This window comes from Homo sapiens, chromosome 10 (genome assembly GCF_000001405.40).
Source record: "Homo sapiens chromosome 10, GRCh38.p14 Primary Assembly".
Lineage (NCBI taxonomy): Eukaryota > Metazoa > Chordata > Mammalia > Primates > Hominidae > Homo > Homo sapiens.
The window spans coordinates 117276965-117292811 of record NC_000010.11 but is presented as its reverse complement, the minus strand read 5'-3'; the positions used below and the strand labels follow the sequence as shown (position 1 = coordinate 117292811).

Below are 15847 nucleotides of genomic sequence, written 5' to 3'. Positions count from 1 at the left end.
CTAATTATTGCTACTGAAAACCTTATCTTTTTTTTTTTTTGCATCTGGAATGTTTACTTCAGGTATCATTTGAATTAAGAAAAGCAAAGGGAAAGATATGATTTATAGATAGAAAATAAATTAAGAAACTAAATTACACTAACACCTTACACTAGCCTCTATTCACTTCCTAATCCTACCCCCTGAATCTCCATTCTACTTTTAAAAGCAGAGTAAATAACAAAAAAAAAAAACACATTCCAAATGCAGGTGTTAATTTTTAAACTTTACAGTACTCAGACTTACACTGTTTAGGTTTTCTACCCATTTGCTATCATTAGCTTCCTGCAATTAGAAAAACTTACATTCTAAATTTCAGCTTTGGCAATCTGTATATTAAGAATATATTTATGTTCCTGGATTTGAGAGAATATGTTGTTAAGGGTTTTGTTAAAAGCCTTAATTGTGTACAGCACTTTACATTGTAAGGTGATTAATTGCTGTGTCATAAGGCAGGGATTGGACAAATGTCTTAGGAGATTTAAACACAAATTACGTGTTTTGGCGGGGCTTTGTGTTTTGTAAACCTTTAGGTAATTCAGAATTTGACCACATATCCCATTTCTTGAGCACAGTATGATTAAGATTTTCCTTAAAATAACTTTACAAAATTTGTTAACACCCAAATTAAAGAGCAACTTCCAGTGAGGGTTCTTTTACCAGCGAATATCATTAGGTAGGAAAATTGAATTTCTGTCCAAGTGGGATTTATATATTAAAGCAGTGCAGCCAGTGATATATTTGGATATTAGGGTATTTGGCAAAGTCCCTCATGAGATATCCTTGAAGAATAGGACTTAAGAAATGTGGACTGGAGAATAATACAATTAGACTGATTTGTAATTGAGCGCCATAAACACTAATTGAATCCTTGTCAACAGCTGGGATGTAGCACTCTGCCTGTTTTTTTTTTTTAAATCAGTTGTTTGAATGAGGACACATAGCATGATGATGTTGTTGTTAATTCACAGATGATGTTAATCTAGTATCCACATTCCTGAAAATTGGATGGCAGGTTTATTTAGAAAACAAAATGATCTTGATGGGTTAGAATAGGACATCTCATTAACAATGTAACTTTTTTTTTTTAAATAAAGATGGGGTCTCACCATGTTGCCCAGGTTGGTCTTGAACTCCTGGGCTCAAATGGTCCTCCCACCTCAGCCCTCCTTAGTAGCTGCGATTACAGGTGTGCACCACCATCCCCATCATCCCCACCACATGATAACTCTTTTTTTTTTTCTGAGGTGGAGTCTCGCTTTGTTGCCCGGGCTGGAGTGCAGTGGTGTGATCTCAGCTCACTTCAACCTCTGCCTCCCGGGTTCATGCCATTCTCCTGCCTCAGGCTCCCGAGTAGCTGGGACTACAGGCACTGCCACCACGCCTGGCTAATTTTTTGTATTTTTAGTAGAGACGGGGTTTCACCGTGTTAGCCAGGATTGTCTTAATCTCCTGACCTCCTGATCCGCCCACCTCGGCCTCCCAAGTGCTGGGATTACAGGCGTGAACCACTGTGCCCGGCCGATAACTCTTAATAAAGTATAAATGTAAACTCTTTTCCTTTGCCTATTCCCAAAAAAGAAACTTGAAGAATACACTGGCCGGGTGGGATGGCTCACGCCTTTAATCCTAGCACTTTGGGAGGCTGAGGTGGGCGGATCACTTGAGCCCAGAAGTTTGAGACCAGCCTGGGCAACAGTGGTGAAACCCGATCTCTACACAAAAAAATACAAAAACTTGCCAGGCGTAGTGGTGCACGCCTGTAGTCCCAGCTGCTTGGGAGGCTGAGGTGAGAGAATCACTTGCGCCTGGGAGGTGGAGGTTGCAGTGAGCCAGGATTGTGCCACTGCATTCCAGCCTAGGTGACAGAGTGAGACCCTGTCTCAAAAAAAAAAAAAAAAAAAAAAAGGATACACCATACAAAATGGAGTTTCCAAAGCACATATTATGAATGACATAGATCATTTTCATTATATTTGAAAAAAGCAAGATTCAGAATTATATTCATGATTATAATTGTATTGACTACTATGTCTCAGTATTATTGAGACAAATCTCAATTTTGTGTTAAATATATATTAGAAAATATATAGAATAGTTCTAGATTGTATAATTAGGAATGGTTTTCTTTTTATTTTGCCTTTCTGTTTATTTCCCAATTTTCTACAATGAGCATGGAGCAAGGAGTAATAATAAAACACATTGAAGATAAAGTGTTTAATTTTTTTGATGATTTAAATGTGTAGCCTAAGGATAGTTAATTTATATTGTTACAGTAAAGATTTTCTCCTTCCTTTATTTGCCATGATAGAAAAGTCAGCATCAGCCATGGTGCTCTCTGCACATAACAGTCTGTTACTGTTTTTTTCCTCTATTACTAGGAATCCATTGAATCAGTTTTCATTTTTTTCCCCTTTATCAAAGGTTGAATTAATAAAAGGAAATTTACAAAGTGTTGGACTTACACTTCGTCTTGTCCAGTCAACTGATGGGTATGCTGGGCACGTCATCATTGAAACTGTGGCTCCAAACTCGCCTGCTGCAATTGCAGATCTTCAGCGGGGAGATCGACTTATCGCCATTGGAGGTAATTATGCTAATATGCATTATACTTTACCTTTACAGATAAACTACAAAGTAGGTGTGAGGTTTTTCCTTTCTTCCTTTTTCCTTATTTCTATAATATGCATATGTCACTTTTATAATGGAAATAAAGTAATAAACTTTATTATAAATAAAAATTCAAAGGAGGCCTTCAAAATACATTTAAAACATACATGCCATTTTAGTTCTAGTGTATAAATCTTTAAAATACTTTGTTTAGACCACTTTTATATAACCACTCTAATCCTTCCCTTCCCACCTTCTACTACTCTATTTATTTTTTCTTGAATGTGAAAGTAAGGGCAAATAAACAGGTTATCTTTCTGTACGACTACCACCATTGCTACTCTGAACCTAAAATTGGTAGTATTAGCACTACTGCCCCCATCACTTAGCACTAGATGATGAGCAGAAGAACCAACATTCCTTTTCCAGGAGGGCACATCTGAACTGTCCTGTGATCCTGTGTCATCTAAATGGCCAGCCATTTGTTAGTATGTTGTTGCTCAGAATTCAGCCCAAATCACTGGTGGAAAAATGTGTCACTTACATGCCTTCCTATCACTTGGATTGTTAACAGTAAAAACTCTCTGAAGATAGCAGGTTATTTGCTTGTATATAAATGTCTAAGCAGTAGGACTCACTGTGCACAGCAGTGAGGGGAAAGTCCAAGCCTTTTCAACCTTTGTAGTACCTGTCCCATCTATTCTAGGCTTGTTGAGAGATTTCTTGAACATATGGTTGGTCACAGTTGATCTGAAAAGGGCAATGTGATATTTTCTTTCACAGCTTAGACAATAAATAAGTTAGAACAGTTCCCAAATCAAGGTGCAGTTGTCCTTGGTTACATGTCAAAGAAACTCTGCCTTTGATTCAAATCCACCTTGACAATAAAATAATGAAAATTATTTAGTTGCATATCTGGGAGCCCAATTAAGTCAATATTTTCACATGGGAATCTCTGATCATGGCATAAGCAGTGCTTCTCAGACTTTCCCATGTATGCCAGTCACCCAGACCTGATGTTAAAATGTGCATTCTGAATCAGGAGACCTGTAGTGAGGCCCAAGATTCTTCATTTCTCACAGACTCCTCCCAAATGATGATGCTTATGCATAAACACTTAGGGAGGCATAAAATAGACATCATTCATTATATTAATATCATTTAATATTTTGGTTTTAGCTACAGGATAAAATTAATTTTTTCGGTCTTTTTTGGGGGTTGTGTTTCAATTACACAAGTAGTAAATACCTATTATCAAAAATAAATTAATTAACCTAAGCGATATAAATGTATACAGAGTGAAAAAGCAAAAGTCATCCCTTGACATCTAACATTTGTTAATTACAATAACAACAGGCCGGGCTCAGTGGCTCATGCCTGTAATCCCAGCACTTTGGGAGGCCGAGGCGGGTGGATCACCTGAGGTCAGGAGTTCGAGACCAGCCTGGCCAACATGGTGAAACCCATCTCTACTGAAAATATGAAAATTAGCTGGGCATGGTGGCAGGCGCCTGTAATCCCAGCTACTCAGGAGGCTGAGGCAGGAGAATTGCTTGAACCTGGGAGGCAGAGGTTGCAGTGAGCTGAGATCATACCATTGCACTCCAGCCTGGGCAACAAGAGCGAAACTCCATCTCAAATAATAATAATAATATGTATTAAGATGAAGGGCAGATACAATACACATTCATTGTTTTAAAAAAAAGAAAAACCTTGGAACATAACAGAAAAGCTTTTGTATGTCTCTTTTTTTGTTTTTTTGTTTGTTTGTTTTTTTCTGTACATAAATATATGCCTTTCCCAATTTTTGTTTAGGAAACAAAAATTTCTAAACTATGCATTTTTGTAATAGTCTTTATTTCTTTTAGCATGTTGTAAACTTTCCCCATGTCAACAGATATTTTTCAAAACATTTTTATATCGCTTTGATTCATTTATATGGGTATATAATTGATGATAGTTGAAATAAGATTGGCAAAATATTATATTTGAAGCTCAAAATGGAATTCATTTTACTGTTTCCTCAGCTTTTGAGTGTGTTTGAAATATTCCAAAAGAAAAATCCAGACTTGAATGGTGTATTCCTGAGAGAGAGTTGCAATGGCCATCTCCACAAAACACCTGATGACTGAGGAATAGATGAGACGAGGGCAGATTTTTAGTCATAAAAAATGAGTTCAGATTGAGTTGAAGTTTTTGCCTACTGTAGATCATTAGATGGACTAATTTTTCATTTATGCATATGTCAAACTATAATTTTGCTGAGACATAGTATGGTTAGAAGGACGTAGTAGAACTTAAAGCTAGATAAATAATGAAGCACCATATTAGAAAGCTCTGAATTTCCATGTGATAAGTTTGTAGGCTAAAGGGGCAAATGCTTTAGGAAAATTTCGTAGCAATATGTTTGGTGTTTAAAGTAGGGAAGGTCTGAGTGAGAGATTGCAGTTAAAAGCTGTTTATTACTAAAGTGAAGGCCAGTTATCAGGAGGATCTGAACAGGGAAGGAAAATGGGCTGAAATCACAAGTTTGAGTTGACAGCTGAATGTTTCTAGGGAGTCAAATATCCCTAGGATTCAAATTGAGTTAACTGGGAGTGGCAAGTTGATTGATAGTAGTGAGGACAGAGAGACAGTCAAAGAAAGGTTTTAGCTCTGCTGAATATTTAGTCCCAAAGGAACATCCAGGTGGTGATGTCCAGTAGTTGGGAATGTAGAACTAAAGTGAAGAAGAAGGGAAACCAAAGAAAAAGTTGATAGTTTTTGAGACTACTGGAGTGGCTGTAATTTACCAGGGAGAGAGCAAAAAAGGGTGAGAGAACTAGTGGCAAACTTTGGTAACAGTTGCATATAAGGTGCAGGTGGTATAGGTGGAGAAAAAGAAGCTAGAGGAGAGGTGATCAGAACCAATTGTGTAAAGTGTTGTGGAAACTAAGAAAAAGAAAAATTTTAAAGAAAAGGAAGAAAAAGTTTAAGGATAATTGATAGAGCAAAGTCAGGAAGGAGACAGGAGGATTGGATCCAAAGTAAGTATACAGATAGAGGGATATTTTCTCCTCTGAAGTAAGATAATACTAAAAATGATGGTAGGGAGAAAAGGTAGCTTCATATTGATCTTTTTGGCAAATAAGGTGATAGCATGCACAGAGTAAAAGAGAGTAGGGAGAGTAGACTTTAGGGAAACAGGAAAGATTTACAGCTGATGTTTGAGAGACTTAGTTGTTTACAGACTGATCAAAAGAATGCTAAGCAGCCCTGAACACCTTGCCAAAGATGGATGGCTAACTTGATGCTAGATCCAAGCGGCAAGCTCAAGAGCAGGAAAGGGCAATAGTGGGGCTAGTAAAGCTGGGGATCAAAAAACATGAGGACGAGAAAATAAAATATTGGTAAGAACATCGTTGTAATCTTGAGACACAGGGTTGGATAGAAGAGCAAGTGGTATCAGGAGACCAACAGGACCATGAGAAGAAAAGAGGAATGATTGGGCCGGGAAGTTGCCTAAAAGTAGTGAGCAGACAGGATTGTAAGAGGTGAAAAATAGGAGCTTGTGATCAGAGACTAATTGAAAATGAAAGATCTTTGATGTGGACAAGTTCCAAGTGATGACCGAGTCTAAAGCCTGATCTTCCCAGACAGCTGAAGTAAGAGAGGACACAGGTTGAGGAAACCTGAAGTCAAGTTATGAGAAAGGGGTGGTGTTACTTAGATTTATTTAGGATGGCCCTAAGATCTTTGGAAAACAAAGAGCCTTCTCATTCTTTCTCTAAGTTCTACATAAAGGGATAGCTTGGGCAAGTGCTGTTTTAGAGAGTGTGGGAAGAGTGACAGGAAACAAGTAGCACCTTTAAGTGCTAACACACCTAGAATATCTATAGAAGCATACACTAGAAGCTACTAAGGTCAGGGAAGGGACAGTATGGCTGGGAGACAGAGGTGGAAAGAATATTTTTTACTGTACATCTTTTTATACCTTTATACCTTTCAAATTTTAAACTACGTGTAACAATTAAAAAATAAGAAAAATAAAAACAACGTAGATATTACAGATGCAGATAGTAACCAGCTTGTTTAACTTTAAAGCAGTTTATCCCTTACTTGTTCTTTCTGGTTTTGAAAAAGATGAATGTGATGGGTACGGTTGATAAAAAGAATCTGTAAAAGTACGTTATTCATAGTATAGTATTTTGCTACATTATTTTCAAGCACTGCTCTCTTAATTTGAATCTTTCATCATATGTCTTGTAATCCCTGGAGTATTTTAGAATTTCCTTCAGTGGAATCACAGCTTTCCCTCACTCTAAGTCTGATTTAGCCATTAATAGAATCCTTTAAATAGATCTCTCTCTGTTCACTTCTTCAGTTCAAACTGAGAGATGTCATCTAACCTAAGAAGAGATAGAAAGCAATTAGGAGTTAGCATCCTGGCACTCTTTTTGGGATCCTGTGTCATCATCTGGTTTGAAAAGGTAAACATCTCCAGGATATCAGCACATTCAGGGTTTGAGAATTAGCACACTGATTCATCCAAAAGCCAAATAAAATATTGTTGAGATTTTCCTATTATTCTTCTATTAGTTAAATAACCAGAGGTAATGGCAATTATATATATTTAATTAAATACATTTAACAAATGTAGTAATTTCTATTGCAATAATTTACATGTTTTCCCTTTTAAAATCTTAAACCAGGTGTGAAAATCACATCAACACTGCAAGTGTTGAAGCTTATCAAGCAGGCTGGTGACCGAGTCCTGGTGTACTATGAAAGGCCTGTTGGCCAGAGTAATCAAGGTGCAGTGCTGCAAGATAACTTTGGCCAGTTGGAAGAAAACTTTTTGTCAAGCTCATGCCAATCGGGTTATGAAGAGGAAGCTGCCGGGTTGACAGTAGATACTGAAAGTAGAGAGCTGGATTCTGAATTTGAAGACTTGGCAAGTGATGTCAGAGCACAAAATGAGTTCAAAGATGAGGCACAATCATTAAGTCATAGTCCCAAACGTGTTCCAACAACACTTTCTATTAAACCCCTTGGAGCTATATCACCAGTTTTAAACCGTAAATTAGCTGTAGGAAGTCACCCACTACCACCGAAAATTCAGTCCAAAGATGGAAATAAACCTCCACCCCTAAAAACTTCTGAGATAACAGACCCAGCACAAGTGTCAAAACCAACCCAAGGATCTGCTTTCAAACCACCTGTGCCACCACGACCACAAGCGAAAGTTCCTTTGCCTTCCGCCGATGCTCCAAATCAGGCAGAACCAGATGTTCTCGTTGAAAAGCCAGAGAAGGTGGTGCCACCTCCTCTTGTAGATAAATCTGCTGAAAAGCAAGCAAAAAATGTGGATGCCATAGACGATGCAGCTGCACCTAAGCAATTTTTAGCAAAGCAAGAAGTGGCCAAAGATGTCACTTCAGAAACTTCCTGCCCTACTAAGGACAGTTCGGACGACCGTCAAACATGGGAATCATCAGAAATTCTTTATCGTAATAAGCTAGGAAAATGGACAAGAACCAGAGCATCCTGTTTGTTTGACATAGAAGCCTGTCACAGGTACTTAAACATTGCATTGTGGTGCAGGGATCCTTTCAAGTTGGGAGGTCTCATCTGTTTGGGGCATGTTAGTTTAAAACTTGAAGATGTGGCTTTAGGATGCCTAGCTACATCAAACACGGAATACCTTTCCAAATTGAGACTGGAAGCCCCCTCACCTAAGGCTATAGTCACTAGAACCGCACTACGCAATCTGAGTATGCAAAAGGGATTCAATGACAAATTTTGCTATGGTGACATTACTATTCACTTCAAATATTTGAAAGAAGGAGAATCAGACCACCATGTAGTTACTAACGTAGAAAAAGAAAAAGAACCCCATTTGGTTGAAGAAGTTTCTGTTCTCCCTAAAGAGGAGCAATTTGTTGGACAGATGGGTTTAACAGAAAACAAACACAGTTTTCAGGATACTCAGTTCCAGAACCCAACATGGTGTGACTACTGTAAGAAAAAAGTTTGGACTAAAGCAGCTTCCCAGTGTATGTTTTGTGCTTATGTTTGCCATAAAAAATGTCAAGAAAAGTGTCTAGCTGAGACTTCTGTTTGTGGAGCAACTGATAGGCGAATAGACAGGACACTGAAAAACCTTAGGCTGGAAGGACAGGAAACCCTCTTAGGCCTGCCTCCTCGTGTTGATGCTGAAGCTAGCAAGTCAGTCAATAAAACAACAGGTTTGACAAGGCATATTATCAATACTAGTTCTCGTTTATTAAATTTGCGTCAAGTCTCTAAAACTCGCCTTTCTGAACCAGGAACCGATCTCGTAGAACCTTCACCAAAACACACACCCAACACGTCAGACAACGAAGGCAGTGACACGGAGGTCTGTGGTCCAAACAGTCCTTCTAAACGGGGAAACAGCACAGGAATAAAGTTAGTGAGAAAAGAGGGTGGTCTGGATGACAGTGTTTTCATTGCAGTTAAAGAAATTGGTCGTGATCTGTACAGGGGCTTGCCTACAGAGGAAAGGATCCAGAAACTAGAGTTCATGTTGGATAAGCTACAGAATGAAATTGATCAGGAGTTGGAACACAATAATTCCCTTGTTAGAGAAGAAAAAGAGACAACTGATACAAGGAAAAAATCACTTCTTTCTGCTGCCTTAGCTAAATCAGGTGAAAGGCTACAAGCTCTAACACTTCTTATGATTCACTACAGAGCAGGCATTGAAGATATAGAAACTTTAGAAAGTCTGTCTTTAGACCAGCACTCCAAAAAAATAAGCAAGTACACAGATGATACAGAAGAAGACCTTGATAATGAAATAAGCCAACTAATAGACTCTCAGCCATTCAGCAGCATATCAGATGACTTATTTGGCCCATCCGAGTCTGTGTAGCAGACAGGTCTATTTAAGCTTTCAAATGAACAGGGTAAAGTTGCATCTAAAGTACCACAGATACAACCATGTTTAAATCCTCGTATGCACTCTGGCCTGCTTCTCCAGTTACTTGCTTGTGTAAGAACAAAAATGAGAAAGGTTGTTTTCCAGTAAAAACATGACCAGCTTACTAATTGGTTGTTTTGGATTGCATTTATAGCTATGCTTTTTTGGGTTTATACTGGGAATTTATTTTTACTAAATTATTTAACTTTTCTAATTATGTAATTATGTAAGCTAGCTTTTCATGTTTATGTATGTATGGTGTCCCCTTGTGTTATTTTTCTTCCTCTTGGTTTTTGAATTAGTGTTAAATAGAATACTGTCTAGATTCTTAAAATATTTTCATTTCCATCATGGTTATAACAAATTTGCTGCATGCCCAAACTGACAACAGCAATCACTGAGGGAACAGGTTTTGAATCTTTCTTTTGTGTTATGAAGTTTATCGTCTCTACTTGCTTGAGATTTTTGTTATTTTGGGGGTTTGGGGGTGCTTTTTGTTTTGTTTTTGCCAAATGTAACATGAAAGCAGATGCTGCAGCTTTAGTCTGTTATGCTGATTTAGTAAAAAAAAATTTTTTACATATATTGCTTGCTTTCGATGCTTCTGTGAAATTTTTTTCTAAAGCTTTTGTGCAGCTGTATGGTAAAAATATGGTGATTAATTTGAAGAGCTTACATTGAAAGACAATGTAATAGGAAATAAATGTAGATTGCAGTTGGTCAAGAATTTTGTAGAGAGGATAACAAGACTTAATTACTGAAAAACAGTAACATAGCATTTTGAAATATAATCTTTTAAAATATTGATGCTTTCCTTTTAAATGGAAATTTAAATTTTATAATTAAAAGTTTAAACATTTATGATAATTTTCCTCATCAGTTCTCCCATAGGAAATAAAGCATGTGAAAGGGTATTTAAAGTTTTGGAGGACTCTTTTTAAAATGACTGTGTTGATAACTAGTTTGGGCTGGTTTTGTTTTAGAAAAAACATTTTCATGTAGGAGTATTCTGTGAAGGAAAGGAATCATGCAAAATATACTTTTTGCTTTGGCGTCTTACAGTTGTAAAGGAATGGTGATCATTCTGAATACTTCTGTAGTGAGTATTCATTAAGAAAAGAATGACAAAAATAGTATTCATACATAGGAATTGGGACCAGTTCTCTGAAAATGAAGATATACTCACACTGGGTCCATTTTACGGGTCCCAGTAACATTTGACTGAGGGAAAACAAGTAAGCTCGACTGTTGTTGGGGTACCTTAATGGTTTCGGTCTGTTATATACCTATAAAATAGACAAGTATATGTTTGTCCCTTTGTAGGTAACTGCTATGATGATTGCTATATAGTGAAACTGACATGAGTTTAAAACTAGATGGAGCAGCTTTTATTGCTGGCAGGAAAAAGCATGGTGTAATATTAAGGACTGGGGCCCAGGTCTAGACTCCAGGACTCCATAAAAGAGTTTAAGTTCAAGCCCTTCCATTAATGAACTGTGTAAGCATAGGCAGTTACAAAAGGACCCATCTCTAAAATGGGAATAATAATACTTTACCTCCCTCACAGTATTGTTGTGAGGGAAACAATAGCATAACTGCAAAAGTGCTTTGAACAGTAAAAAGATATACAAGTAAAAGGCATTATTTATATGAGTAAGAAAGACATTTTTGAGGGGAGAAAAGTTATTCCACTTTAAAAATCAATAGCCAAGTCTCATGCCTTTTGTTACTTTAGTAAGCGAAAATTTCAGGTACTAAATACCTTTCTTAGCCAAGTTTATAACAAAAACATCTCAGTATACTTCATTACTTATTTAAGCGTGATGTCTTTTTTTTTTTTTTTTTTTTTTTTTTTTTTTTTTTTTTTTGAGACAGAGTCTCGCTGTCTCCCAGGCTGGAGTGCAGTGGCATGATCTCGGCTCACTGCAAGCTCCGCCTCCCAGGTTCACGCCATTCTCCTGCCTCAGCCTCCGGAGTAGCTGGGAGTACAGGCGCGGCTAATTTTTTGTATTTTTAGTAGAGACGGGGTTTCACCATGTTAGCCAGGATGGTCTCGATCTCCTGACCTCGTGATCCACCTGCCTCGGCCTCCCAAAGTGCTGGGATTACAGGCGTGAGCCACCACGCCCGGCCACGTGATCTTATTTTAAAAGAACACTGCTATAGAAGAATTTACACACCAAATTCCCTGAAAGCTAAAGTATTGTTCCATAACTTACACTTGAGGCAATCTGCTCAGTGTGTAACCACTTTATAAAAAATAACTTACCATTGATAACCTGGAAGGTGGACTACTTGTAAGTAGCTGGTGTTTATTGATTAAACCATGGAAGTTTTCATGATACCCAAGCATGTTGCTGAAACTGATGCATTTGAAAGAGCTGTTGAAATAATGCAAAACTTTGGTTTTATAAGAATCTACTCATGTTTTAAAAGTATTTAACTCTGTAGACCACAATTATAGAAAGCTCAGTAATGCTGCTAATGACATTTGTAAACTATATCTGTAATGTAGTGCAATATTTTTATATTTCACTGGGAGAGGCAGTAGAGACATCATAGTTGTACTTTAGTGCAAGTGGGGGAACACTCCAAATAGCCTAGAGTATAGTAAGGTACAAAGCTTCAATGAAAAAAGCTGTATTATATTACATTACTGATGTAATCTTGCTGCCATGCTATGTATCAATAGCTAAAAAATAATAATAAAGACTACCACAGAAAACAAGAATATCTTCATTTAATGAAATCTTTAAAAAAGGTGATTGCTGCATCTCTATGGAATTATCTTCTGGTATAATTTGGCCATGCAGAAAAGCATAACAAAGTCCACTTTTCCTAAACAAAATTGCTGTTTTGCAGACTGCCCCAAAACATTTTTTTACTATTGTTTCCTTATGGATTATCAAGTTTATGGGTTTCCTTTGGCTATGTATTAGTAATTAGACTTTAAAATATATTTTCTACATTAGTATTAGCTGAGTGAATGGCTTAGACAAACTGAGCAACATTTTAGCATTATTAGCAATCATAATAGGCTATACTTCTTCATATCAAGCCTTATATTCAATATCAGAAGTACTTGAAATAAGTGGCTATTTTGTGATGCTGGGAGGAGAAAACACAACCTAAAAATTTTGAGGGGTACTATCAAGTTCTAAATGTATAGCTGAATTTTTTTTAAAGCAATTTGGAAATATTTGGCTCTTAAAAATAAGATAAATAATAAAATGTTAAGTCCCCTAAAAGTGAATAAATTTTAAATACCTACTTTTAAAAATACTGTCTTCTAAATTGACATAATTGCTTTTCTTACCAAAAGAAGGAGAGGTTCCCCTAATTCCTTTTGGGCCATAGATCCGCTTTTAGGATCTGATTAAAGATGTGGACTTTCACCGCAGGAAGATACCCATGGGCACACCATTCAAAATGTATCAGATTTCAACGGTTTTACAAACTCCCCCGGGATTAAGTCAAATGGGTGGATATTACAGCTGTTTTCATCAGATATGGTTATTTGTTGACAACCATCAGGACAACAATGTTTATAGATGGAAGGATAACTTCCTGGTTTTTTTCCACATTGAATGTGGCTAGTTACATATCTCAATTTAAAATAAATTGTGGAAAGCCAAAAAAGTATGGTCAAGCTAACCTGGGGTGGCTTTTACCTGATGCCTACAAGCACAGAAAAATAGTTTTTAATTAAATATCCACAGTCAAAATGATACCTTATGTATTTTATTCCAACAACATTTGGTTTATAAAGGAATACAAACAGGCACAAAACATGGTTCAGAAGATTTATTAAGTAAACTTGCTAAAATATGGACAGATACACTTAGCAGTCAAACAGTTGAATATTCATTGCTACCTCATTAAAGTTTTTGTATCTGTATTACCAGGTCCAAACATAAAAACCACCTCTGTTCAAAAAATAAATGTTCAGAGAGCTGTATGTTCTTTGTTCTGGTATGTACATTTTAAAAAAACACCTCTTTCCAGTCTTGCTAACCAAGAATATTAGTCATATAAAAGAACTTAGAATTTTTTTCCCCAAGTACAAGCTATCTTTTGCTCCAAAACAGTTCTGAAGGTTTTATTTATATTTTATCTTATCCCGAGGGACCAACAGCAGGCATACCTTTGCCAGGCCTTCTTGCAGAAAGACACAGAGCCGTAAAGGCAAAAATAAAATTGCAATAAAGTATATGGTATTGGGGGCAGGGAGAACCAGAAACCCTCAAAGAGAACCAATTTGTAGCACGTTCTTTTTTAAGGCTCTACCCCTGTAGAAGTAAGAAACTAGCCTGCCTTTTTAGCCATATGAGAGTTTCCTCCAGAGCCATCTTCCAAAGTGGCAGACTTGGCCAAGTTGCCCAATGCCAAATAAGTGAGTTGGAAGTTCGTTTGCTTCAAACACACTGCACTTAGAAACCAGACTTGAAATAATCGAAGCCCCACAGAAAAGCTTCATGAAACGAAGTGTTACTTTCCTAGAGAATAAGAAAGTCACAAGATTGAGGAGTCTGTTCTAAAGTTCTTTGCTCCTTGATGTCGAAGTTAACACAAACACAATCTTAGCTTAACGAAACTAAGTAATTTTTGTTTATGATTATAGAACTGCAGGATTCACAAGTAGTATTAGAGACATTCCACACTGCACACTCCAGTCATATCTCTTAACAAAATGACATAAATTGACAATGTTCACTAACAGTATTTGCTGTTACACTGAAAAGGCACATCAATGTTGTCATGCTTAGAAAAATACACAACACTGCACACTGGATGATATAGTTAGCACATACATTTTTAGATGTTCCATTTTTCTTTTCTGCCTGATCACTATTATTTTTACTTCTTAATATATGATTCAAGACATAATTTCATTCTTCATTTTCATTTAAAATTTGTCTTCACATTGATGTGAACAACTTTCAGGAGTCTAAAAAATAGTAGTTTCAGACAACCTAAAATAAATATATTCCTAGAAAACACTTGGATGACCTGCAAACAGATCAAAGATATAGTCAGATATTAAAGTCAGAGCAGCTGTTTTCAGCTTCTTGTTTCCTTTTCTAAAACTTGAAGTAGATGGCGATTAACCTTATCATGTTTAAACAACCTTGACAGTATAAGGTACATGTACCCTCAATTTTCTTCATCCAGTAAGACAAGTATGCATCTTAAAGGGAAAGCTTTTAGTTCATAACAATATGTTTGGTTGCTTTTCTCTGCTTTCGGAACATTTACTGTTTTTCCTTTATTGGCTTTAGTGTTTGCTGCCAACCAGATAACATGTTAACATATAATTTACAACTCTCTCTAGGTAGGTGATTACATAGAAAACTAATGCCAGCTAAGATTTATGGATTCAAAAGATAACTGACACAAGTTCTTGTCCTCTACACTTGAGAGAACTAGCTGTTTAACGCATAAATATATTGATAGTAACTACAAGTTAAATAACATTCAGTGTCACTATATAACATGCTGTCTTACTTGATTCTGTTTTTCAGACTTCATTCTAGTTTCTCTTTGTTGGAAGAGTCTCAGAGATAATGTGTGCTTTAATTTTAAACACTCATTACCAATATGATTTTTGCCCAAATGTTTGTTAATGTAAGTTAAAAAATTATATTTGGTTTGGATTCAAATATTTATAGATTTACACAATACCTATTTCATCAAAATATATTGTATGATATTTAATAAAATTAAATACATAAAATAAAGTTTCAACACTATTTATACAAACCCCTAGAAAAGCTTCTTTTTCTTTATAAGGCTGTTGGCAATCGACCATAACCATGGAAAGGAAATAATAACCTTTGGTTTTACTCTTTCACCAGGGATGGATGGTATGACTAAGACAGTTCTGGATGAGTTGTGTCACTGGAAACACTGTTTTATACAATTAAACACTTTGATGATTTTTGAGGATCTCATCTCAGTCACTTTCAGATTCTTCATCTTCACCTATCGGATATGACTGGATATTATTCTGAGTGTACATTTTTGTTTTAATAGGGCAGTTGTGATCCATGAGAATAGCCTAAAAGAGAGCAAAGTGCAAGTATATTAACTTCTTGTTTCATAAAGATAAGATGGTTTTAACCTACTGTTTTTAAGGATTATTAGTTTGAAAACTATGTAGTATTACTTGCTATTAACCAGTCATTTGGAGCAATCGCCAGACGCCTGACCTAAAAGACCTGTAGTTCTACACTCTAAAAATTCCAGGCAATTGGA

At 36.5% G+C, this 15847-nt stretch overlaps 2 protein-coding genes across 6 annotated transcripts in view; one reads left to right on the top strand and one right to left on the bottom strand.

Moving 5' to 3' along the window:
* The window catches only part of PDZD8 (PDZ domain containing 8), a 98167-nt gene extending 82629 nt beyond the window's left edge, over positions 1-15538 (top strand). For 2 of the 5 annotated variants that reach the window (XM_005269518.5, NM_173791.5), the window contains 2 exons: positions 2464-2626; positions 7341-15538. In XM_005269518.5, coding sequence (XP_005269575.1) covers positions 2464-2626; positions 7341-9544 — 2367 coding nt within the window. In that variant the 3' untranslated portion in view covers positions 9545-15538. Of the gene's footprint in view, positions 1-2463; positions 2627-7012; positions 7119-7340 lie in introns of those variants that run through there. The other 3 variants (XR_945602.3, XM_011539265.3, XM_047424575.1) reach the window with 2 other exon arrangements.
* Positions 13382-15847, bottom strand: part of SLC18A2 (solute carrier family 18 member A2) — a 38317-nt gene continuing 35851 nt past the window's right edge. Inside the window, exon 16 of the mRNA NM_003054.6 lies at positions 13382-15650. Coding sequence (NP_003045.2) covers positions 15546-15650 — 105 coding nt within the window. The 3' untranslated portion in view covers positions 13382-15545. The remainder of the gene's footprint in view (positions 15651-15847) is intronic.